Genomic DNA, 26,333 nt, shown 5'->3' with positions numbered 1-26,333 from the left:
AATTATTATTAGAGCTAAAGAGGGAGATACATCCCAATACAATAATAGCTGGAGATAAGAGGGAGATACATCCCAATACAATAATAGCTGGAGACTTGAACACTCACTTTCAGCTTTGGACAGATAATCCAGACAGAAAATCAACAAAGAAACATTGGATTTAATCTGCACTGTAGACCAAATGGACCTAATAGGTATATACAGGACATTTTAGCCAACAGTTGCAGAATCACATTCTTGTCCTCAGTACATGGATCATTCTCAAGGACAGACCATATGTTAGGCCACAAAACAAGTCTTAAAAAATTCAAAAAAGCATTGAAATCATATCAAGTATTTTTCTGACCAGGAATGGTATAAAACTGGAAGTCAATGGCAAGAGGAACTTTGGAAACTACACAAACACCTGGAAGTTAAATAATATGCTCCTGAATAACCAGTGGGCCAATGAAGAAATTAAGAAGATAATTTAAAAATTTCTGGAAATAAAAGAAAATGGAAACACAACTTACCAAAACCTATGGGATACAGTGAAAGCAGTACTAAGAGGAAAGTTTATAGCAATAAGCACCTACAACAAAAAAGTAGAAAAACTTCAAATAAAAAACCTAACCATGCATCTGTAACAACTAGAAAAGCAAGAGCAAACCAAACACAAAATTAGTAGAAAAAAAAAATAGTAAATATTCAAGCAGAAATAAATGAAATTGAAATGGAACAAATACAAAAGATCAATAAAATAAAAAGTTGTTCTTTGAAAAGATAAACAAAATTGACAAACTTTTAGTCAGACTAACACTCTGAGTCAGAGTTCCCTTCTGACCCAGAGTGTGTCTAGAATAACAGAGAGACTAAATAAACAAAATCACAGATGGAGGAGACATTACAAGTGATACCCCAGATATTCAAAGGATCATTAGAGACTACTATAAGCAACTGTATGCCAATAATTGCAAAACATAGAAAAAATGAAAAAATTCCTAGAAACATACAACCTACTTCGAATGAACCATAAAAAAATCCAAAACCTGAATAGACCAATAACAAGGAATGAGATCAAAGCCATAATAAGAAGTCTACCAGCAAAGAAAAGTCCAGGACCTAGTGGCTTCACTCCTGAATTTTATGAAACATTTAAAAAAGGACTAAAATCAATCCCACTCAAACTATTTTGAAAAATAGAGGAGGAAGCAAGATTTCCAAATGTATTCTATGAGGTTAGTATTACCCTGATACCAAAATCACACAAAGACACATTAGAAAAAAGCTGGAAGCATTCCCTTTGAAAACTGGCACAAGACAAGGATGCATTCTCACCACTCCTATTCAACATAGTATTGGAAGTTATGGCCAGGGCAATCAGGCAAGAGAAAGAAATGAAGCGTATTCAAATAGGAAGAGAGGTAGCCAAATTGTCTCTGTTTGAAGATGACATGAGTGTATAGTTAGAAAACCCCAACATCTCAGCCCAAAATCTCCTTAAGCTGATAAGCAACTTCAGTAAAGTCTCAGGATACAAAATCAATGTGCAAAAATCACAAGCATTCCTATACTCCAATAAAAGACAAACAAAGAAAATAAAATAAAATAAAATGGAAATACCTAGGAATACAACTTACAAGGGATGTGAAGGACTTCTTCAAGGAGAACTACAAACCACTGCTCAAGGAAATAAGAGAGGACACAAACAAATGGAAAAATATTCCATGCTCATGGATAAGAAGAATCAATATCGTGAAAATGGCCATACTGCTCAAAGTAATTTATAGATTCAATGCTATTCCCAACAAACTACCATTGACTTTCTTCACAGAATTAGAAAAAAACTACTTTAAATTTCATATGGAACCAAAAAAAGCCCATATAGCCAAGATAATCCTAAGCAAAAAGAACAAAGCTGGAGGCATCATGCTACCTGACTTCAAACTATACTACAAGGCTACAGTAACCAAAACAGCATGGTCCTGGTACCAAAACAGATATATACACCAATGGAACAGAACAGAGGCCTCAGAAATAATGCCACACATCTACAACCATCTGATCTTCGACAAAGCTGACAAAAACAAGCAACGGGGAAAGGATTCCCTATTTAATAAATGGTGCTGGGAAAACTAGCTAGCCATATGCAGAAAACTGAAACTGGTTCGCTTCCTTACACCTTATACAAAAATTAACTCAAAATGGATTAAAGACTTAAGTGTAAGACCTAAAACCATAAAACCCCTAGAAGAAAACCTAGGCAATACCATTCAGGACATAAGCATGGGCAAAGACTTCATTACTAAACACCAAAAGCAATTGCAACAAAAGCCAAAATTGACAAATGGGATCTAATTAAACTAAAGAGCTTCTGCACAGCAAAAGAAACTACCATGAGAGTGAATGGGCAACCTACAGAATGGGAGAAAATTTTTGCAATCTAGCCATCTGACAAAGGCCTAATAACCAGAATCTACAAGGAACTTAAACAAATATACAAAACAAAAAAAAACCTTCATCAAAAAGTGGGTGAAGGGATATGAACAGACACCTCTCAAAAGAAGACATTTATGCGGCCAACAAACATGAAAAAAAAGCTTGTCATCACTGGTCTTTAGAGAAATGCAAATCAAAACCACGATGAGATACCATCTCACACCAGTTAGAATGGCAATCATTAAAAAGTCAGGAAACAACAGATGCTGCAGAGGATGTGGAGAAATAGGAACACATTTACACTGTTGGTGGGAGTATAAATTAGTTCCACCATTGTGGAAGACAGTGGGGCGATTCCTCAAGGATCTAGAACCAGAAATACCATTTGACCCAGCAGTCACATTACTGGGTATATACCCAAAGGATTATAAATCATTCTACTATAAAGACACATACACATGTATGTTTATTGCAGCACTATTTACAATAGCAGACTTGGAACCAACCCAAATGCCCATCAATGATAGACTGGATAAAGAAAATGTGGCATATATATACCATGGAATACTAGCAGCCATAAAAAAGAATGAGTTCATGTCCTTTGCAGGGACATGGATGAAGCTAGAAACCATCATTCTCAGCAAACTAACACAGAGACAGAAAACCAAACACCAAATGTTCTCACTCATAAGTAGGAGCTGAACACATGGACACAGGGAGGGGATTATCACACACTGGAGCCTGTCGAGGGGTGGGGGGTAAGGGGAGGGATAGCATTAGGAGAAATACCTAACGCATGCGGGGCTTAAAACCTAGATGACAGGTTGAAGGGTGCAGCAAACCACCATGGCACATGTGTACCTATGTAACAAACCCCCAAGTTCTGCACATGTATCCCAGAACTAAAAGTATAATAATAATCAAAAGGACACATTAAAAAAGAAAACTATTGGCCTACATCCCTGATGAACATTGATAAATACCCAAAAGAAAGGAAATTCATATATCAAAGAGATATCTGCACTCCCATGTTTATTGCGGCACTATTCACAATAGCCAAGATTTAGAAGCAACCTAAGTGTCCATCAACAGATGAATGGATAAATAACATGTAGTACATATATATAATGGAGTACTATTCAACCATAAAAAAGAATAAGATCCCGTCCTTTGGAAAAACATGGATAGAACTGGAGGACATTATGTTAAGTCAAATAAGACTGGCACAGATAGACAAACTTCAAATGTTCTCACTCCTTTGTGGGAGCCAAAAATTAAAACAGTTCAACACATGGAGATAGACAGTAGAATGATGGTTACCAGAAGCTGGAAAGAACAGTGGGGGCATGAGGGGAAGAAGTGTGATGGCTAATGGGTATTAAAATATAGCTAGATAGAATAAGATCTAGTATTTGATAGCACAACAGGGTGACTACAGTCAACAATAATTTATTGTACATTTTAAAATAACTATTACAAAGATATAACAGCCTGTTTGCATGAGCGTGGGAGGTGGGTGCCACACTATGTACAAATAATCTCAATGCAGTCATAGTTAGAATGTAGGGTAATTTAATCTGACAGTAACTCAGCATCTTCTCTTACCTTAAATAAGGTATTCTATTGAATTTTCATTGACAATCTGTCCACAGTGATGCCAATTATATGCTCTTACTTTAGCTTTTCTCTTTTGTGTTTTGAGACAGAGTCTCGCTCTGTCACCCAGGCTGGAGTGCAGTGGCGCAATCTCAGTTCACTGCAACCTCTGCCTCCCAGGTTCAAGCGATTCTCCTGCCTCAGCCTCCCAAGCAGCTGGGACTACAGGCGTGTGCCACCACGCCCAGCTAATTTTTTTTGTATTTTTAGTAGAGACAGGGTTTCACCGTATTGGCCAGGCTGCTCTTGAAGTCCTGACCTCGTGATCCTCTTGCCTCGGCCTCCCAAAATGCTGAGATTACAGGCCACCGCACCCAGCCGGCTTTTCATTTCTTGAAGAGACGGGAACAACAAATCTTCATAGATCTAAACTAACTTACATTTTAAAATATAAAATTGTGTGTCTTCCCAACATTTTTTTTTTTTTTTTGAGTCAGAGTCTCACTCTGTCAACTAGAAGTGCAGTGGTGCTATCTCGGCTCACTGCCACCTCCACCTCCCAGGGTCAAGCAATTCTCCTACCTCAGCCTCCTAAGAAGCTGGGATTACAGGCACCCACCACCATGCCCGGGTAATTTTTGTATTTTTAGTGATGGGGTTTTGCCATGTTGGCCAGGCTGGTCTTGAACTCCTGGCCTCAAGTGATCCATCTCCTTGGCCTCCCAAAATGTTGGGATTACAGGCATGAGCCACTGCGCCTGGCCACCAACAGATTTTTTAATTCAGAATTTGACAGCAAATAAGTGTTACATCTTTTAAAACAAATAGCTTCAAAGAAATATATTAATGGGAAAATATTAAACATATCATTTTTATTAAAGTATATCAACACCTAGAAACAATAAAGGGTACATGATGAATATGTATAAAAACAAGTAACTCAAAGCTTTACTTGAAATAGAAAAGTCTAACTATAAGTTATTTTTTGTGTGCATCAATTGAAACAAACCATAAGTTTGTTGATTATAATGTCATTTTATGCATTGCAAGAATATACAACTTCAAAGTCTTCTGGTTTAAATTCCTAAATAACTACAGGGTAACTAAATATGTTCAGGATCCTTCAGGCAGAAAAATCAACTATTTAGAGTCACCTGGAACAAATAAATAAGTAATCATGCCACATTTCTGTTGTTTTTAAATTTATCATGGTTTTGCTTATAAAGGTATTGACTCATTAGGTTAACTCTGTAAGATTATAAGATGATATTCTGATTTATACTTGCTACATTTATGACTACTTGGAGAAACAACACTTGAAGGGGACCTTCTATATACATTTGAACAATCTGAGTTACAAATAATCATGCTGACAAATTCAGGTTTCCCCACTACCACTGAAATTATCAGAGTCTAAGCTGAAAAAAAAAAATCCAAGTATTGTATTCATACATTTTAATCAAGGTTCAATAGGGAAGAAGGGAAGAAAAAGTAAAATTGCAAACAAAATGTTAAATACTGTACTCCACTTCCTCTGAAATATTTGTCTTTTGAATTAGTATACTGGTCTAAATTTTGCCTCCAAAAATCTAAGAAGAATATTGTTTGGGTTTTTCAAAAATCTACATACTTCTTGAGTGTTCTATTCAAATTTTATGTAATCAGAAACCTATTTTAAGGCATAAAATTAGAAAAAAATTTAAAAATTATTAACTTCAATTAACCTCAAATAAATAGAATTGTATTGTATGCTCCACTGCCTTTGTTCTACTCAGCTTTTTCAGTTTGCGGTTTAAAGCCTCCATATTTCTTTTCAATGTTTAAAAAGACATGCTGTTTTCATTTTCCCTTTCCTTTAAAAAATGGCAGAATAATCTATTGAAAAACAAAGAGGCAAAAACTCCTTGAACTATTTTTCCTCTCCTTTAAAACAGACCTATATTTGGTGTATGTATCTTTTAAGTTTGCAGTATGTGAGAAAGAGGACCGTAATCATAAAGTTCTTTTTTTAAAATAACTAGGAATGACAGAGTGATTTATCCCCATGGGAAGTGCAATAAACATATTGTATAGTATATATGACCTTATGCTTTACTTGGTGCCCCTAAAAGACTGAATTATATTCATTGATCTATTTTAATACAGCAAACTACAATTTAACGTTAAAACAAATTTGATGCTCAAAGCACTTCTGTAGAAGATACAAAAGATAAATGTTTGAATCTTACCCAGATCACTATAGGCAACAACTAAGCATATAAACTACAGACATAAATAATACACAATCCAGGCCAGGTGTAGTGGCTAACACCGTAATCCCAGCACTTTGGGAGACCAAGGCGTGTGGATCACTTGCGGTCAGGAGTTCGAGACCAGCCTGACCAACATGGTTGAACCCTGTCTCTACCAAAAAAAAATACAAAATTTGCTGGGCATGGTGGCACATGCCTATAATCCCAGCTACTTGGGAGGCTGATACAGGAGAATCGCTTGAAGCTGGGAGGCAGAGGTTGCAGTGAGCCAAGATCACGCCACTGCACTCCAGCCTGGGCAATAAGAGCAAAACTCTGTCTCAAATAATAATAATATCATTAAGAGCAAAACTCCATCTCAAAAATAATAATAATACATGAGCCATTATGAACAAATTCTATCAAGGCTTCATGTGACATTTAATGGCTGAAAACTAAACAGGATTTAGCAAAATAAAATGTATTTAAATACATCCTTTCTTATGAAAGGAGAAGGCTTATCCAGTGATACTGACCATAGAGAGAACCTATACATCAGTCTCATATTTAAGAGGGTTCTGCCTGCCTTGGTTGGCTTCAAAGAGCTCACTGTACGTTGATTATATTTAGACTGCTTCTTAGCAGAAGCAAAGAGTTTATAACAGTTCATAACATCACAAGTGATGGCATCTTGTCACGGTGTAAGCAATCTCAAAACATAACTTGCATTTATCACTTCTACTTTTTGCTCATGACAGCATATGAAAGCCTGCCTTCTCAAATGCACAGATGTGTTCAATATGCACTTTCCATCTATGCTTGCTCTTTATAATGTATATTTAAGAAGAGCTCAAGACTTTTAAAAATAAAACCTACATGGCAATGATATCTTCTAAGTCATGAAAAACTATGTGGAAACTATCAGGCCAGGCGTGGTGGCTGATGCCTGTAATCCTAGCACTTGGGAGGCTAAGGCGGGAGGATCACTTAAGCCTAGGAGTTTGAGATCAGCCTGGGCAACATGGCAAGACTCCTGTCTCTACAAAAATAAAAATAAAATTAGCCAGATGTGGTGGCGCACAGCTGTAGTCTCAGCTACTCAGGAGACTGAGGTGGGAGGACTGCTTGAGCCCAGGAGGTAGAGGCTGCAGTGCGTTGTGTTCATGCCACTCCACTCTAGCCTAGGTGACAGAGCAAGACCCTGTCTCGAAAAAAAAAAAAAAGAAAAGAAAAAAGAAACTGTCTTAATTAATTAATTTTAAGTATACCATATTCTGAAGAAAAAATCAAAATCTTTAAGCAAATTTATAATGTACAGAGCTCAGTTCTTCAAATACGGAGACATTAAAGAAAAAAGAACCTATTCAAAGGCCAAAGATAAAACTGTAAATGATTGTGGGTCTCCTAAAAGTATATTTAAAGTTTCTTACAAAACCATAACCCTTCTCCCCTAAAAAATATGTTCTCTGGTAGAATACTGAAGTAGAAAACAGACCACTAAACAATGATCTTGCAGTATCAAACATTTTCTCAAAAAATTATGACATAGGATCAAAAAAACAGAATGCTAGGCACCCAAGATAAAAAGCACAAAATGTAAGAGAATAGATCACCTGTTCAAAGAACCAAAGCTCACAATAACGTATGACAGAACACCTATACATTAAAAAAAAAAAGAAAGAAATGCCGATAACAGAATTGAAAAAAACAAAATGAGGTCGGATGCAGTGGCTCACGCCTGTAATCCCAGTATTTAGAGAGGCCAAGGTGGGTGGATCACCTGAGGTCAGGAGTTCGAGACTGCCTGGCCTATGTGGTGAGACTCCATCTCTACTAAAAACACAAAAATTAGCTGGGCATGGTGGCAGGCACCTATAATCCCAGCTATATGGGAGGCTGGGGCAGGAGAATCGCTTGAACCCGGGAGGCAGAGGTTGCAGTGAGCTGAGATTGCGCCATTGCACTCCAGCCTGGGTGACAAGAGCCAAACTCCATCTAAAAAAAGAAAAAAAAAGAAGAAGACAAAATGAAAAGTGTATATTTTTCATAAGAGAACATAAGAATTTTGTGAATATTGTAGCCACTGTGTAAATATTGTATAAACCTTCAGATACTGGTTATCTCTTTTGGGAGATTTAAGGTATTCATTTTTAATCTTAAAAAGATTCTTTAAAAAGAAATATACTTCCCTTTGAAATAGTAAGTTAAGTAGCATTTCAAGTTTTTCTTTCATAAAAACAGTTGCTGGAACAGAAAAATAGGCTTCATTAAATGATTCTCTCCATGCTCTAAATACACATTTTAAATTTAAACCTTTTTCTTCTACAGAAAGCAATGATTACTAACACTTTGTTATTTTCCCTTAGCAATTTAAAAAAGCATTTAATCACACATTATAATAACAAAGAGAAAGTAATGACATTTGAAATTTACTTATACAGTAGGTCAGGACAATCAAATTGACCTCCATTTATGCATAAAAAAGGCAAGAGAAAAAAGGGAGTTTTGCTAGTCTACTCTCCAAAAAAGGGAAAAGATGGCTATAGAAGTCAATTCAGAAACTACAGTTGTCCATTGTCTGCTACAATGCAACTCATGAACTGTTCTCCTGTATTCTGTCACACTTATTGCTTTCTTTGCCCTCTTGATATGTACGAAGCTGCTCCATGAAGCCAGAATTTGGACATATGGAAGGTCTTGCATTTTTCACCAAAGAAAAAGCACTGGTAAATGAGGTTTGTTCAGAATTCATCAGGAAACCTATTACAATTGCAGCAGCCCTGGAAACGCCTGCATTACAATGAACAAGAACCACTCCATCCTACAAAAAAAAAAACAAACAAAAATCTTCATTATTCATTTGAGAAAGGTTATTATATCAATTGCACATTCTTATACTACTTGAAAGTATAAAGTAAATATTCAGTTTTATTGATTTATTTGATTCAATTTATTTGATTATTGAAATAAAATTCATTACCAGCAACAAATGGAAACTCAATCAATCAATCAATCAACCTGTACCTCCCTTACCTACTAACCCATGATTGAAATGCTTTAATGATGTTTGGAATTCTGAAACAGTATCTTTCATTAAACTAAAGTAATCCAGTAAAGAACACATTAAAACCTAACAACTTAGTAGCCAAATGTATCAGTAAAGTACACATAAAAACCTAATAACTTAGTAGTCAAATGTATCAGTAAAGTACACATGAAAACCTAACAACTTTGTAGCCAAATGTATCAGTAAAGTACACATAAAACCTAACAACTTAGTAGATAAGTGTATATAAATAAGAAAAAAACCACAGGAAATATATGTGGAAACATAAAATAAAATCATAACTATAAGCTAAACAGAAAGCCAGAAATACTCCAGAGTATACTTAGTGTTCTCATAAATAAGCTAGTGTCAATGGCTTGCAAATCTGTTTAAATAATCAGCAAGGAAAAAATTTTCTACCCTTGCACATATTTTATCCTGGCAGAAAGTTACTTAAAAATATTTAAACTTACGATGTAGTAAAATGTGACACAAATAGCTCATAACAATGTGAAGTGGAAAAGGTAATCACATACCAGCATGAGGTCAATAAATGAAAAACATTTCAGGTAACTTGCAAATGATACTTTCCAAGTGAAAAGAGACACAGTGCAAGACCAATGCTGATGGGGGCAATATTGTATTAATAATGAATGTGATAGATCTGATGGGACAGCATTGATACAGCTTGGCCTATCTGAAGCTTTTAAAAAGTTAATGATCTAAATGAAATGTGGTGAACTGTGAGCACACCCTCCAGAATTAGACATTTTAGTTACTTCATTTCTTGATTCTTTATTTGGTACAACACAAAAAAAGACGAGAGCAGGAGGGAAAAAATATACTACTGAAAACCCTCTACCCAAAGCACATATTAACAATACTATTGTTATGACTCATTGGATTATTTTACTTCTGCAAGGCAGTTTTCCGATTCAGACATCTGTTGCAAAACTCCTTTCCTTGATCTGCTGTAACAAATTTGCAAGTGCATCTCTTTTCAAGAAAGCCAAATGATTAATAACAAAATTAGTTAACATTTTGAAAATCCTCATATAAAAAAGGAAAATATCAATTGTTTTCTTTTTTCACATCTTACATTACTATGGGATATTACTCTTTTCTATAGATATTTATGACTCATTTTCAAACTTCAACAGTTTCTATATAAGAAAAGCAAAACACAAATATTCACTATACACCTTGGGAACTTTTCTCATTTTGTAGCAATAGCCCATTTTTACAAAACTTAAGATGTTTAAAAATTATATTAAAGTAACTGATGAAAATTATTAATGAACTTCATTTAGCATAAAACAAATTAATTAGATACTCCAAAGAAACTTGCAATCATAACCTTAATAAGCAAGAGATACCCTTCAATGTCACTTTTAATATTTCCTGCTTATATACTAGTCGGCTTTACTTTATGATGCATACATAGGCTTTTGAACATGAAACTAGCTTTATTTTCAGTCTTACACATTGTGCATCCAATTTTAGCTAATGTTTTCAAATGATATTATTTTCTTCTTTCTACTTTATATAATAGCTGTTTTTCTACAGCTTTTCAATTTACCTACTTTCTACTTTTGATTATTCCTTAGGTATCATATTGTCCTTGAAAGTATTTCCAGAGAAATTATTGGCTTTATATCCCTTTTCCAGAGCTCAAAATAGTAACAAACAATTTATAAACCACTTTTTTTTTCCTTTGCACTTGCTGTTGTCCTATGCCTAGAAGACCTTTGCTCTTCTTGGTACAGCTAATTCTGACTTCTGTTCTAAGACTGCCTCTTTCCAAGTGAAATGAGGGTATGAGGAATGTCTTAACCATCTTTGTATGCCTAGTATTTAGTGCAATTCTTGGCATATAGTAGTTATTCCATAACTTTTTGCTAAGTGAATACATTTGTTCTGCATTTCTGAAAGGAAAGTGTTCTTTCAAAAATTCAAAATCACCATTTTGCTATGGGCAAGTAGTAACCTATAGGCAGATAGTAATTATGCTATGTTATTTCCATTTCATAGAGTTGTCTTTGTTCTTGTGCTATTATAGTTTTCAACTAGATTTCAAGCTCCTTGAGGGCAGCAATGTGTATCCCTCACATCTTCTCAGAATAAGTAATTAATAGTTGTTAACAGTAACTGAGCCAGGCCCAGGTGTTTTTCCTTATATTTAACTTCCATTAAAACTTCGGCATGGCCAGGCACAGTGGCTCACACCTGTAATCCCAGCACTTTGGGAGGCTGAGGCGGGTGGATCACAAGGTCAGGAGTCCGAGACCAGCCTGGCCAACATGGTGAAACCCCATCTCTACTAAAAATACAAAAATTAGCTGGGCGTGGTGCTGGGCACCTGTAATCCCAGCTACTTAGGAGGCTGAGGCAGGAGAATCACTTGAACTCAGGAGGCGGAAGTTGCAGTGAGCTGAGATCATGCCACTGCACTCCAGCCTGGTTGACAGAGTAAGATTCTGTCTCAAAAAAAAAAAAAAAAAAAAAACTTGGGCAGAAGCACTATTCATAATAGCAAAGACATGGAATCAACTCAAATGCCAATCAATGATAGTCTGTATAATGAAAATGTGGTACATATACCCCATGGAATACTATGCAGCCATAAAAAGAATGAGATCATGTCCTTTGCAGGGACACAGATGGAGCTGGAAGCCATTATCCTTAGGAAACTGACGCAGGAACAGAAAACCAAACACTGCATGTCTCACTTATAGGTGGAAGCTGAACAACGTGAACACATAGACACATGGAGCGGAACAACACAAACTGGGGGCCTGTCGGGGTTAGGTGGGGTAGGAGGAGGGAGAGCATCAGGAAAAATAACTAATGCATGCTGGGCTTAATACCTAGGTCATGGGTTGATAAGTGCAGCAAATCCCCATGGCACACGTTTACCAATGTAACAAACCTGCACATCCTGTACATGTGCCCCAGAACTTAAAAAAACCTTGGGTATAATGTGATAGTCTGCAAGTGCTTGACAGCCACCTATGATGAAATAAGAATTTTGCAGTGGAATGAAAATCAATTGTCACTAAAAATATACTCCTTAGTTCAGCGTTTGGGTGGGGTGGGGGAGTAGCCAAAATCTCTCAAAGAACTAAGCAATGTCTTGGTTTATATTCAGGCACAACCTTCTTATCCTGCAGAGGTCTGGTAGCAAACTGGACAACACTTTGAGGAGCACAGGTCAGAACAGTCCACTCATGACTATCCACAGTAGTAGAGGGGAATGTAAATATGACAAATACAAAAAAGTGATGGGTAGACTGCTTTGAAACAAAATGGAAGAAGTAAAGCAAGAGAATAGGGTCTGGTGGCAGGGAACCTAAGGCTGTTTTACTCCGATTTCCCAGAACTAAATTCAAAGGAAAACCCTAACTTTCCACACCTAAGTAACAAAAGCACCGGGGGCTACTGCCTTTGCAAACCCCTCACCTTTTCTGCATGCAGATGGGAAATTTGCTGTCCACAACCAATCAGACTAATTGCAGGCCAAGTCTTCGTTTGCATAGAAGTATAACTTTGTAACTTCACCCTAGCCTCTCACTGGTTGCTTTTTGCAACCAATCAGATGTTTGCACAGGAGCGTGACCTTTGTAACTTCACTTCAGCCTCTGGTTGGCTGCTTTCTCCAACCAATCAGACTGACTGCAGGATACCACTTCATTTACATAAGGTGAGCATGAAGTGGCCATTGGGAAACTTCTAGTGGGTATTTGGACCCAAGAAGATTCTGTATCCTGTCCCTTGGGCCGCTGCTTGGACCTGCTCCGACACTGTGGAGTGTGCTTTCACTTTCAATAAATCCCTGCTTTTGCTCTTTTGTTGCTTCATTCTTTCTTTGCTTTGATGGGCGTTTTGTCCAATTATTTGTTCAAAATGCCAAGAACCTGGACAACTTGCAGTCATGACCCTCTACTTGTAACAGAAGCATCTAAAAACTTCGTGAATTTAGGTACTTATTTAGACCCATAATGTCTCTCTAATGAACTTTTACTTCTATTGAACAAAAAACTACAAACAGCTTACATGTCTCATAGCAGGAAATAAGATAAATTATAGAATCACCAACTACCAGAATACTGTGCAAAAATTTTAAATGATTTGAATCATCAAGTATAAAAAGCAGGCTATACAGAGGGGACTAGGGCCAGAGACAGGACCAGGAAGGAACTGAGGACCAAGAAGTGCAAATATCAGTACCCAGGACCAAAGTGGCCGCCCAGAGTTCCCGATCTCACATGTGATAGCACCCCGTCAGCCCTCCCCTCCTGAGCAGGGATCCAAGAATGTGCCAAGAGGCCTGCTGGCCTCAGCCGGGTGGGCCTGTACATAGGGTCCATGTGCAATAGGGAGGGAAGTCTTCTATTTTTTGCTGCCCCCTCCCAGCCCGCTGTCTGGGACAGGGGGAGAAGGTATTTTCAAGATAAAGCACAGGTACCACAAATAAAGTCATGAAGTTGCCCTCCCAAAAAAAAGGCAGGCTATAAAAGAATATAAACTGTATGATACTATTTTTATAAAAATACATATATAGGTCTAGAAAAATATATCAAAATGCTAACAATGCTTATATCTAAGTGTGGAAGTGTCTTAATTTTCATCTGCATTTTCCATTTTTTCTACAAAGAACATGGACTACTTACGTCATGTTTTTAAAATCACATCTTATAAACAATGAACATGAAATATCAAATACACATTGTTATACTTTGTACCTTTTGTACATAAAAAGAGGGGACAAATAAATTTAGTTCCTAAAAGGACTCTTTGGGCTATAGAAGTTACCATTACTGTTCTTCTCAGGTGTATTTCTGTCCCTTTAGGCATAAAGGAAGGACAGAGAAGCCAAATAGAGTTTTGCAAGTACAGAGGGAAATGAGTAAAGACTTAGGAAATGGAATCCATTCCATTTGGCAACGGTATGCAAAAAGATGAAAACAACAAACTATAGCCTAGAAAGGTAGTTTTGAAACATGTAATTCACTGAGTAATTAGATTTAACAATACTTGAATATAAAATAGACAAAGGCATGAAGAGATCTTTTCTTAAAAAAAATGAAAAAAATTCAAGAATTTTTATTGCTAAAACTAAATATATATTAGCCTTCCAGGCATGGTGGCTCATGCCTATAATCCCAGCACTTTGGGAGGCTGAGGCAGGTGGATCACTTGACGTCAGGCATTTGAGACCATCCTGGCCAACATGGCAAAACCCCGTCTCTATTAAAAATACAAAAATTAGCCAGGCATGGTGGTGCGCACCTGTAATCCCAGCTACTAGGAAGGCTGAAGCAGGAGAATCACTTGAGTGCAGGAGGTGGAGTTGCAGTGAGCTGAGATTGTGTCATGGCACTGAGTTTTCAGGGCAGGGAAATATTGGCTGAGGTTAGGATTCCAGTATAAAACACAAGGCTTGAGAGGGTAGAACATATTTCTGAAATCTAATTCATCTTATCAGAAACATTTTCTGCAGCTCCTCAGATTCCTGTGGTGCCGCCATCTCACAGACCCTCTCAGCATGCTCCACCTCGGCTACCACCTCCATGGCTGACTGCTCTCCCCTGCTTTCACTTTTGCCTGTCAAAGAAGGAGCTCTTCTTCCATGGTGTCCACAGTATAGACAGGCGTACTCTGAGTTCTGGATTTTCTAATTCTCAACTTGGTTGAAAAGTTGTATTACTGGGTGTTAGATTTGGCTTCGAGGTGGCTGCTGAAAGAGTGGAATGTTATAACCTAGAATTGTGGGGTTGGTTATATCCCCACTGGCAAACTTTGACCAATGGGAAACAGGAGCTGACAGGAAGCCAGGCAGATAAATCCTCCCTTCCAGGCTGGGTTGAGGTGCAGTTTCTTTGTACTGCCTGTCCAGAGGTATTTTGGGTGGTAGAGTAGCTGTACCTGCTGAATAGCCAACAGTCAGCTCACTGTGAAATGAGCCCAGCAGGGTAAACGCATCACTTTGTATTGCTTCTCGTCCCACCTTGAATCACTTTCCTTTCTTGCCACTCTCACTGCCTAGAGATTGTACCTCTCAAATTAAGCATAAGCTCTAAATCCTCATCTCAGGCTTTATTTTTAGGAAACCCAAGCTAAAATCCACTCTAATTTACTGGCCCAAATTAAGGCAAACTTTATTTTTTAAATTTATTTAAAATTCCAAGCTTATTAGAATATTCAATCTCTTGCTTTTCTTTCTAGATATGATTAACCTCTCTAATTTTTACTTGCAACATTTACATCTCTTCTAATGTTAATATGAATATGGATGATATCTATACTTTGCCATCTCTGGCATATTCTACATCTCCTTAGAGAAGGAGCCAATACAGAAACATCCTTTTTATTTTTAAAACTATTAACTCACACACTGGAATGTTACAATCCAGAGCCTGTAAATTTTTTAACAAGAAAACAGAATGGCCAATATTAGGCTTTGAATTAAAAAACCTCTCCCTTGGCCAGGTGCAGTGGCTCATGCCTGTAATCCTAGCACTTTGGGAGGCTGAGGCAGGTGGTCTGCCTGAGCTCAGGAGTTCAAGACCAGCCTGGGCAACACGGTGAAACCCTGTCTCTACTAAAATACAAAAAATTACCCGGGTGTGGCAGTGTGCTCCTATAGTCCCAACTACCTGGGAGGCTGAGGCAGGAGAATCACTTGAACCCGAGAGGCGGAGGTTGCAGTGAGCCGGAGGTTACAGTGCACCGAGATCACACTACTGCACTCCAGCCTGGCGACAGAGTGAGACTGCATCTCAAAAAAAAAAAAAACAAAAAAAAAAAACACAAAAAACAAAAAACAAAAAAAACCTCTTCCTTTGCTTCCATCCAAATACAGTCGTGCATCATTTAACAATGGTGATGCATTCTGAGAAATGTGTTGTTAGGCAGTTTCTTCGTGGTGTAAACATCACAGAGTGCACTCACACAAACCTAGAATGGTATGGCCTATTGCTCCAAGACTACAAACCTGTTCAGATGTTACTGTACTGACTTGTAGGCAACAGTAACACAATGGTATGTATTTGTGTATCTAAACATACATAAACATAGAAAAGGTATGGTAAAAATACATTATTATAATCTTATGGAACCACCATCATATATGCAGTCCAAACATCATTATGCAGTGCATGACTGTATCTGCTATTAAGTAAAGTTGATGAACAGTAGAATTGAATAGTTTTATATTTTCTGGGTAGTCTAGTAGGAAGGCACGTAGAACAGTGCTGGGCACCTAAGGCATTCAATAAATATTACTAAATGAAAGGAAAGAAGGGAGAGAGGAAGAGAAAATGGGAAGGAGAAAAGATAAAGGGAGAGAAGGTAGGCCAGAGTTCAATTAAACCTGATTGTAATCCTGTCATTGTTAGGTGTTCCAGAAGAGTTATTTCTCTCTGTAAATGCTTCTACTTTCCCATCTACGTATCTTACATAAAGTCTGTAAGAATTATTTGCTGACTAAAAATGATGACATTTCAAGGAATAATTGTTGATAACAGCCAACCTAGAAACTTTGCCTGTCAGAATGTTGACTTCAATAACAAGCCTGAAGTACTATATGACATTGGCTATTGGTCTTCTAACTTCAGAAAACCAACAGACAGTTTCTGATCAGCATTTTCATACAATCTAAGTAAAGCAATACACATTTAGTCCTTAGAGTGCCTTAAAATTTTACTGCTAAAAATGCATAGTTTCACAATAACTATCTCATTCATTAAAATCAAATGCATATTAATCATCATAAATACACTAACAAGTCTAGAGCAGTCTCTGTTTTATAGTCTGAATTAATGTTGAAACTAAACATCTCATTGAAAAAAGAGCAATTAACCAAATAATTGTAGGAAATAATGAAATATTGTTAGAAGGGAAATTTCATAATTGTTTTTTAGAGATTCATTATAAAAATAATAAAGATTGGGTAATGGATCCACACTTTCAAATTTCTGCTTCTGCAGAACTATGGATCAAAACAAAACTCACTTTTCTTTTTGCTTCTTCAATAAATTCAAAACATTCTGGAAAATAAGACAGGATGTTGGTTTCAGGCAGATCCAATATAGAAATGCTCTTATATGTAAAGTCACTGAGGAAAGCATTTTCAACTCCATATGCAACATTAAGAATATGAGTCACCTTAAAGAGAAAGAAAAAAGATGATTGTTTTAAATCCCATGAATTAGGTTACCTAAAAAGAGACTGGGGTGTTGATATCTATAACAAGAAAGGTAAAAAATTTAAATGCGACTCACTTGAATGATAATACTGCTTCAATCCCACACCAGAAGTGCTCCTTCTACTATATGTTTTCTCTCTCTCTCTCTCTCTTTTAACTTATTATTATCATCATGCAGAGACAGGGTCTCTTTCTGTCACCCAGGCTGGAGTGCAATGATGCAATCATAGGCCACTGCAATCTTGAACTCCTAGGCTCAGGTGATCCTCCTGCCTCAGCCTCCCAAGTAGCTGGGACTACAGGCGTGTACCACCACACCCAGCTAATTTTTTTTTTTTTTTTTTTTTTCAGAGAAGAGGGGGGCGGGTCTCACTTTTTTTGCCCAGGCTGGTCTCGAACTCCTGGCCTCAAGTGATGCTCCCACTTCCGCCTCCCACAGTGCTGGCATTACAGGTATAAGCCACCACACCTGGCCTATATATTTTCATAGCCCTGGACTTGCCCTATTATAGCTCATGCCATTTAGAGATTGTTTTTCTCTTTCACTGCACTAGAAACTCCATGAGGGTAGGGACCATGTTTAACTTAGTGTTATAAGCGAATGAGCAGTGAGTTTAGCAGAAAATGCTTAAAATCTTTGTTGAATTAATCTGTGAATATCCATATAAAAACTTAAATAGGAGAAGTGTATCAGTGGTATACAACTTCCCTTTCAAGAATTATTTCCCTATTTTCCTTCATATTCTTTACTTTATAAAATGGTTCTCCAGGATGACTGCACATTAGAGTCACCTGATGAACTCTTAAAAACTATCAATAACACAGGGTCTCATACCCAGAGATTCTGATGAACCAATCTGGCTGAAAAGTAAGGGGAGGTGTGGTTGTAAAATATTTTCTTTCAGATGGTACACTTGAGCAACCTCCTCCTCTTGCATCTATGTATTTGAGCCCCTTTTCCTAGAGTCCACCAACCATGTGGAAGAAAGCCAGGCAGACAGTCCATTAAGATAATCCAAAGGCTGAGAATCACTTGAACCCAGGAGGTAAAGGTTGCAGTGAGCCACGATCATGCCACTGCACTCCAGCCTGAGCAAATGAGCGAGACTCTGCCTCAAAAAAAAAAAAAAAAAAAAAAAAAAAAAAAAAAAACCTAACAACCTTGTCCACATCTGTACTTCCCCTCTGCCTTCTGATTACAATGAAGGATGTGCTCGTGCATCTTCGATAAGGCTCATTCCAGAACCTGTGCTTGGAGTCACAGTGCTTCCTACTTTCTTGGCATCTCCCTATAGTCATAATTCTTGCTTTTCTGTATCTTCAATTCCTTCTTCTACCATCAGCCTTAAAACATGCTCAAAGCTCTCCCCTCCCCCTCCTCACCTATGGCTCCTCTCTCTCTTTTTTTTTTTCCCTTTGCCATCACTTCCTCACTTCTCAATCTTTTGCAATATGGCTTTGGCCTCCAATTCAAATGAAACTGTTTCCACCAAACGCACTAACAACCTCTCTGTCACCAAGTCCCATGGATATAATTTAGTCCTAATCGTACTTAAACTTTTACAGCATCTGACATTGCTGACTCTCTCCTCCTTAAAACACTATTCTCTTTAGTTTCCATGACACCATCTTTTTGTTTTACCTTCTTTGGGCCTCTTTTAGATCCTCCTTTCCCACTGCGGACTCTTCTTTGTTTGATCATTCCATATAGGGTGATATTCCTCAATTTATCAGTTCTGTGATAAGATTCTGTCATAGGCCCTCTTCTCTCTTACTTTACACTTTTCCCCAGGCAGCTTCATCTATTCTAATGGTTTCAGTAACTACTTAAAAGCTGAAGATTCCTAAATCTATATATTCACCTCTATTCTGAACTTCAGACCCTACATATCCACCCACCTAGATGATCCACATCACCCAAAACCTAACATGTTCAGAACTGAGCACACTGTTTCTCCTTCAAAGCCTGTTCCTTCTACGTTGCTTTCAATCTCATGGAACGATAACTTTACTTAGTTACCAAAGAAAGCTAGACATCAGCCTTGACTCCTCCTTCTCCCTTAGCCCCACTCCCTATCCTGCCTCATAAGTAATCAAATTTTAAGAATTCTACCCTCTAAAAAACCCCTCACATCTATCTAATTCTATCTCCACTAAATCTTAATCTCAGCCATTATCATCTTTTCCTTAGATTACTGCAATAGCTTTATAACCAGTTTCCCCCATCTCTAACTTGAGCAACCCTCCAATCGATTTTCCACACTGCTTCTAATGAGAAATCTTTCTGAACTGCAAATTTGACCTTGTTACATCTCTGGGTAACTTCTCAGTGGCTTTCCATAGTCTTTTGGATCAAGTCCACACAACTAACTTTGGCTTACATGGCCTTTTGTGATCTGGCTCATGCTTACCTCTCTCTCTGGCCTTGTCTCTTGGTGCCCTTCTTTCTCACACTCTCTATTCCAGGGTCACTGAACTTTTCTGTCCCTGAAAGCATCCACCTTTCTCTTGCTTCTGGGCCTTCACACATATCATTTATTCTGTATGAACACTTTACTTTCTTTTTTTTTTTTGAGATAGAGTCTTGCTTTGTCGCCCAGTCTGGAGTACAGTAGCAAAATCATAGCACACTGTAACCTCGAACTCCTGGGGTCAACCAATCCTCCTGCCTTGGCCTCCCAAAGCCTTGGGATTACAGGCTGTCTACTCCTTTCCTAGCCTCTTCAGAGAAATACTTCAATATCACTTCCTCCAGGAAGTCTCCCCTGACTCACTTATCCCCCCAAAAACAAACCAAACCAAACATGGGTTAAGAGCATCATCTCCTATGCACTTCTACAGCACCCTGCACTTCCCCATCAAAGCACACAAACGCTGTTCGGTAGCTGCTTGTCTCTCTTCTCTGTCTGCCCCTTAGGTCATACGCTTCAAGTGAACAAGAATCTCTTGCACTCCTTCACCTACAGCAATTCCATGACCTGAAACAGTACTCAAAAAAATGGTAGAGGGCTAAAAATCCTTTTGAGTAAATATGTAATAAATCACATCAGTTGTATGGAGTAGAGTGGCTGGAAATGGCATTACAGAAGACGTGGTATGTGAGTTGGGACTTAAGGTATGGACAGGTCTTGGACAAGCAGAGATGAGGGAAAGTCTATCCCACACAGAGGAACTACATAAACACAGGCAAGAAAGACATGCCTCCAAGGTCAGGTTCATGAGGGTACATGAAGGAGATCAAGAAGAATGTAAAACTGGAAAGACAGATTACAGATCCACATATTTGAATTATGTGCCAATTATTTTTCAACTCTATTGAAATGATAGCCAAAATGTTACCAAATAAACTCCATAATATACCAAAGATGGACCAATACAGTTTTTCCTAAATAAAACAATTAAAATATTCTGTGTATATGGTGCCAGACTTAAAGCATTTTTTTACCTTATTCTTTTTCAGTGTATCCAAATCATGAGCAGCATCTTGTGACCCTAGAAGAAATAAATGATACCACCTTGAACACAAATATAATCATCTTGAACTTTTATATAAATTTCTACAGCAATTCTGTTATTAAAAAAAAAAGACCAACAACTTGGAAGGACCTTAGTCCAACTTTCTGAAGGGCAATTTGATAACAGTCATCCTACATAAACTCCTGGACTCTGAAATCCTACTTCTAAAAATTTGTCCTAAAAGTTATAGATGTTGCAAAGATTAGCTGTAAGGATGTTCACCATAGTATTGTTTGTAATATAAACAAAACAAAAACAAAAGAACACTAAAAGCCCAATAATAGCTGTTGCATTAAATAAAAAATGGTATAATTGTGTAGTGAAATACATACAGCCATTACCACCATTAGAAATAAGAAATGTAAGCCTGAACAACATTGTGAGACCCTGTCTATAGAAAAAAAATTTTTTTTAATTAGCCAGGCATGGTAGTGCATGCTTGTATTCCCAGGTATTCAGAAGGCTAAGGCAGGAGGATCCCTTGAACCTAGGAATTCGGGGTTACAGTAAGCTATGGTTATGCCACTGCACTCCAGCCTCGGTGACACAGCCAGAAGAAAGAAAACAAAAGAAAAGAAAAGATAAGAAAAGAAAAGACAAGACAAGACAAGAGAAGAGAGAGGGAGGGAGGGAGGGAGGGAGGGAGGAAGGAAGGAACGAACGAACGAACGAACAAAAGGGAAGGGAAAGAGAGGGAGAGAGAGAGAAAGAGAGAAAGAAGAAATGTGGTAAAATATGTATAGCATGGAAACATGTTCTTGGCCAGGAGTGGTGGCTCCTGTCTGTAATCCCAGCACTTTGGGAGGCTGAGGTGGGTGGATCACTTGAGGTCAGGAGTTTGAGACAAGCCTGGCCAACATGGCACAACCCCATCTCTACTAAAAATACAAAAATTAGCTGGGCATGGTGGTGCATGCCTGTAATCCCAGCTACTCAGGAGGCTGAGGCACGAGACTTGCTTAAACCTGGGAGGCAGAGGTTGCAGTGAGCCAAGATCGTGCCACTGCACTCCAGCCTAGGTGACAGAGTGAGACTCCGTCTCAAAAAAAAAAAAAAAAAAAAAAGAAAAATGTTCTCAATGTATCTGGTTATAAAAGCAGGTTACAAAATACCATCATCCATTTTTATAACAACAAAAAATATGTATATGCTTAAAAAATGGAAAGGAGGTATACATAGAACAAAATGTTAACAATGGGGTTGCAGGTGATTTTTTTTTCTTCTTTATGCTCATTCTGACTTTTTACAATAAACATCTCTTTATTTTGTAACTTAAAAAAGGATATTACAAAAACCACACACCCACAAGATGACTTTGTGCCAGCTGGTTTGGGAACACCCAGTAGCTTAGAGCAAATGCTGTTGGTCTGCAGGATCCCACCCACACTCCATGTATCACTAGGGCTGTGCCCTTCTACAATCTCTTTCTGTCACAGCCGGCTTCCCAGATCTCCCACACTTGGAAACTGGCTCTAGTTAATAAGCAAGTTCATATGGAGAATAACTAGTCAAAATAAAGTGAGTTTCACAGTTTAAAGATTTCAAGTATTTTACTTTCCTGAATTAGGTTCTATTTCATAAACTTTTTTTTTTTTTAAGTTACCCATCTGGGAATTCAGCCAACTTTTATTATGTGATTTTAGGTGGCTGAAAGGCCAGCAAGTATGCTGTTTGGCCAATATCCTCTTGATAATACCAAGCTTACAGGTTCGCTACTGAGCTCACATTCAGCTTTATTATACTTAAAAGTTAGCCTATCAAAATATTAACATTTGTTAAAGCTGAATGGTATATACATAATTGTCTATTAGTTTCTGTAATTTTCTATAAATTTGAAATACTTCATAATTTTTTTTAAAATTCTGTTTTCTAATGTAGAAAGCCCTAACCAACTCCAGAGGAAAAAATAGGTTCAAATAATTGAAATTTGGTGGTTTAGTCAGGCGTGGTGGCTCATGCCTGTAATCCCAGAAATTTGGGAGGCCAAGGCGGGCAGACTGCTCAAGCCCAGGAGTTCAAGACCAGCTTGGGCAACATGGTAAAACCGCATCTCTACAAAAAGTACAAAAAAATTAGCCAGGCATGGTGGTGTGCACCTGTATTCCCAGCTATTCAGAGGCTGAGGTGGGACGATCGCTGGAGCCTGGAAGGCAGAGGTTGCAGTGAGCCAAGATCGTGCCACTGCACTCCACCCTGGATTTATTTTGAGACCCTATCTCAAAATAAATAAATAAATAATAAATAATTATCTGTCTATATATAATGTTCAAAGCCTAGGACAAAAATGCTGTCTAAAATCTTTTCTCCATTTTTAAATGGTTCGAGGGCCTATGTAATATTTTTTAAATGCAGTCACTTTTTAGAGTTTACGAACTAAAAAAGATTACATTTTTACAACTCTTCATTTTCTTTATTCATCACCCAAACCAAAAGTTGTTTGGCATGCGATGCTGGGAGGAAGCTGTGTCGCTTTGAGGAGGTGAAAGAAGCTCTTAGAACCAACCTGCAAACAACCCCAGTCTCCCAGACGTAAACTAAGTCTGGTCAGAAACAACTCTTTCAACATTCATGTAGAAGAACTGCGGGTGGAACCACCCATGGATCCTTTAGGAATGAGGCACTTGTAATTAGGCAGAAAAAGGTGAGCTTTCAGAAGGGAGGAGGTTGCTCCTGATGAAAGTATCCCATTCCAGAGAAGACCTTATTAGGGCTAGTTTCAGAAGTTCCTCCCAGGACTCTCCCACTATCCTGGGGAGGTTTCCAACCCCAATCTCAGAACACTACCTTGATCAGTTCACTTTGGGTAAGTCCACAAATAATAGTAATAAGCAAAGTTCATGAAGACCCTAAATTGGTGAATGATATATGAAAATTCTACCATAATTATTCCAAGCCATGATTACTACAGTGGAAGCCAAAATAACTGAAAAATGTGCCAGGACGTATTTTCTTTCCTAGATATGGTGAGCAGGGCCTAGGTGAACTTTTCAGATTACCTAAATAACTCACTTTTTCACTGTAAATGTGACAAGAATATGGTACAGTTTTTCACGGGACTGTAGAAACTAGTTAGAGACATTTATTTGGTGAATTTAAAGACAGCCTATGTAACAATTCATATAATATTTAATAACTTATATGTACACTGCAATTGATTTGCATCAAAAACCTTTTACAACAACCTCAGGAGGATCCTATGACATAAGCAGATACTGTTACTTCATCTTTACAAATGGCTTTTTGGAGGACCAGAAAGGATAAATGGCTTGCACCAGCTAATCTAGTAAATTAGAGGCGGAGCAGGATTGAAAACTTGGTCTATGTGAGGCAGCCTAGTATAACAATGGACAGCAGGAGTCCATCAGACTTGGGCTTGATGCATACGTCTGTTATTTACCAGGTGTGTTACCTTGTGTAAATTACTTCACCAATTTTAAATCCTGGTTTCTATTTGTAAAACAAAGCTGATAATCCCTACTTCACAGGATTCCTCAAAGGAGTAAGACACTAGGTGAACAGCACCTGGGCTATTTCTCAGTCTTCTCTCTATTCAAGAATGCCTTAGCTGCATAGTGATAAGTCATTTAGTCTTTCCAAGTCTTAATTTCTCTATTCATAAATAGAAATAATTCAGACGTACTTGAAAACATTCTTGACTATTTTTTTAAGAACACCATACCATATTCTTGCCAAATTAACAAGTTTGCACTTTTATAACCTTGCTTCATTTGCTATTTGTGAACTATGCTTGTATAGGGGCTCAGTATTTCCATAATACGAAATAAATCATAAGATCTTAAGATCTCCTTCTCTTAAACACTCCAAAAACAGACACCATGAACAGACGTGGCCACAGGAGGCATGTATTCCGCACGGTCTGTAAGAGCTGCGCAGGCCAGCAAGCACAGGACTATTTCGAGTATTAACTTTTCTATAACTTTAACCATTGTCACTTGTAGTTCTGCCTGATACAAACATTCTTTTTTCATTCCTTTTTTTTCAAGCTGTATTTTTTATAAGCCAAGAAAACACAACATCAATGTGTTATTCTCCAGAGAAGTTAGAGAAACGGGAAGAAAGCTTTTCTAAAATTCAAATATGCAGTGCCAAGTGCTACGAGAATAGCATCTATGCTTCTTATGGGTACACTGTGAGGCAGAAACGGCTCTAGCTGGCTAATGGAAGTTCCATATCCAAAAAAGGAAACAGTTCAGCTTTTCGGCAGGATAGCTGATAATACAGACTATTACGCATAAAGGGGGAAAATGAGAACGTAATCTGGCTAAAAGGACTCAATGATCTAGTGGCAAGTCGATATACTCACCTAGGAGCAACCATGGCTTAATAACGCCAACTTGCAGGTCCGAGCTAAGGTCCTGCACATAACCACAACCACCCCCACTGCTCGGCTCTACTTCTTCCACAACATGAATTCTGGCATCTTTCCATGTTTCTATAATTTTCTTTCCAGTTAGCGTTGTCACCCTGGTGCATTGCTTCCTGAGATTATTCCGGGAGAATGCTTTAATTTCCTGGTTAAGGGAGTACATTACATGAGCAGTGGCTGGGAACAAATACAAACAAATCCAGCAGGCATAGAAAACGGCTGAACTGCTAGTCCCTTATTGCCCAGGTAACAAAGCCAGCCTCAGAGGTGCTCGCCCATCCAGGTAACCGCAGCAGCCACAGACCAAGAGACTGAGTCGTCCAGCTCCGTTTATCCCAGCGATGCAATGTAAGGCGAAATTTGATTGGTCATTGAGACACAAGTGCCGATTGGATGCTGTTTCTTCTTCCTGTCAGCCAGAAACCTGCATTTTCCCGAAAGGCTCGAGGGATCCACTGGGGAAGATTTCTTATTGTTGCTGTTTAAATTTAGCTTTCTAATACACGCAGAATGGTAAAATATAAGACTTCGTTGGAGAGAGGAATGATATGTCCTGGTTCTTTAAAGGCAGTGATTTTCTGATATATTCTGTTAGTGTCACTTACGGCAGTGACCATGGACGATCCGGGCTGACCTGTGTATCGCTCCCGCTTGAAAGAGACCGGCGGAGTCACCTTGCAAATCACCCTATGTCCCAAAGCCTTTCCTGCCTGTCTGCTTTTAGGCTAGTCCAGGAGGGCTAGAGCAGACGTTAAAAGTTATTTCTCGCTTCCTGTATCCTTCACACCTTCTGCTTTTGCTGTTAATGCAAGAGGAACGTTTACTAGATAAAGTTGTTGTGCGTATTTGTGAGGCAACAATTTAAATAAACTGGGAAAAAAGATATATTTTTTAAAATTTATGCTCATATATGTAGATTGACAAGAGCTTAAA

At 38.0% G+C, this 26,333-nt stretch overlaps 1 protein-coding gene across 4 annotated transcripts, besides 1 other annotated feature; it reads right to left on the bottom strand.

The window, feature by feature from the left end:
- Window positions 1-4,488: 4,488 nt before the first annotated feature.
- Window positions 4,489-25,750, bottom strand: DUSP19 (dual specificity phosphatase 19). Of its 4 annotated transcripts, none has more exons than NM_080876.4 (4): window positions 25,338-25,750; window positions 20,943-20,989; window positions 17,305-17,457; window positions 4,489-9,066 (listed from the first exon to the last, which is right to left on the bottom strand). In NM_080876.4, the coding sequence occupies exons 1-4, from the start codon at window positions 25,561-25,563 to the stop codon at window positions 8,839-8,841; spliced, it is 654 nt and encodes a 217-aa protein (NP_543152.1). In that variant the 5' UTR covers window positions 25,564-25,750; the 3' UTR covers window positions 4,489-8,838. The 4 variants fall into 4 exon arrangements, 3 of the variants coding, with proteins under 3 accessions (NP_543152.1, NP_001308448.1, NP_001135786.1); NM_001321519.2 differs by having other exon boundaries at window positions 17,305-17,339; NR_135688.2 differs by lacking the exon at window positions 20,943-20,989.
- Window positions 14,781-14,980: an enhancer, noted in NCBI's record as "active region_16838". NCBI's record gives its function as "activates an Ori minimal core promoter by ATAC-STARR-seq in GM12878 lymphoblastoid cells {active_cell/tissue: GM12878}" and the evidence as "EXISTENCE:reporter gene assay evidence [ECO:0000049][PMID:35858748]".
- Window positions 25,751-26,333: the final 583 nt, after the last annotated feature.

The sequence above is a fragment of the Homo sapiens genome, chromosome 2 (assembly GCF_000001405.40).
Source record: "Homo sapiens chromosome 2, GRCh38.p14 Primary Assembly".
NCBI classification, from domain to species: domain Eukaryota; kingdom Metazoa; phylum Chordata; class Mammalia; order Primates; family Hominidae; genus Homo; species Homo sapiens.
Note: the sequence above shows the minus strand (reverse complement) of the source record. Positions and strands in the feature narration are given on the sequence as shown.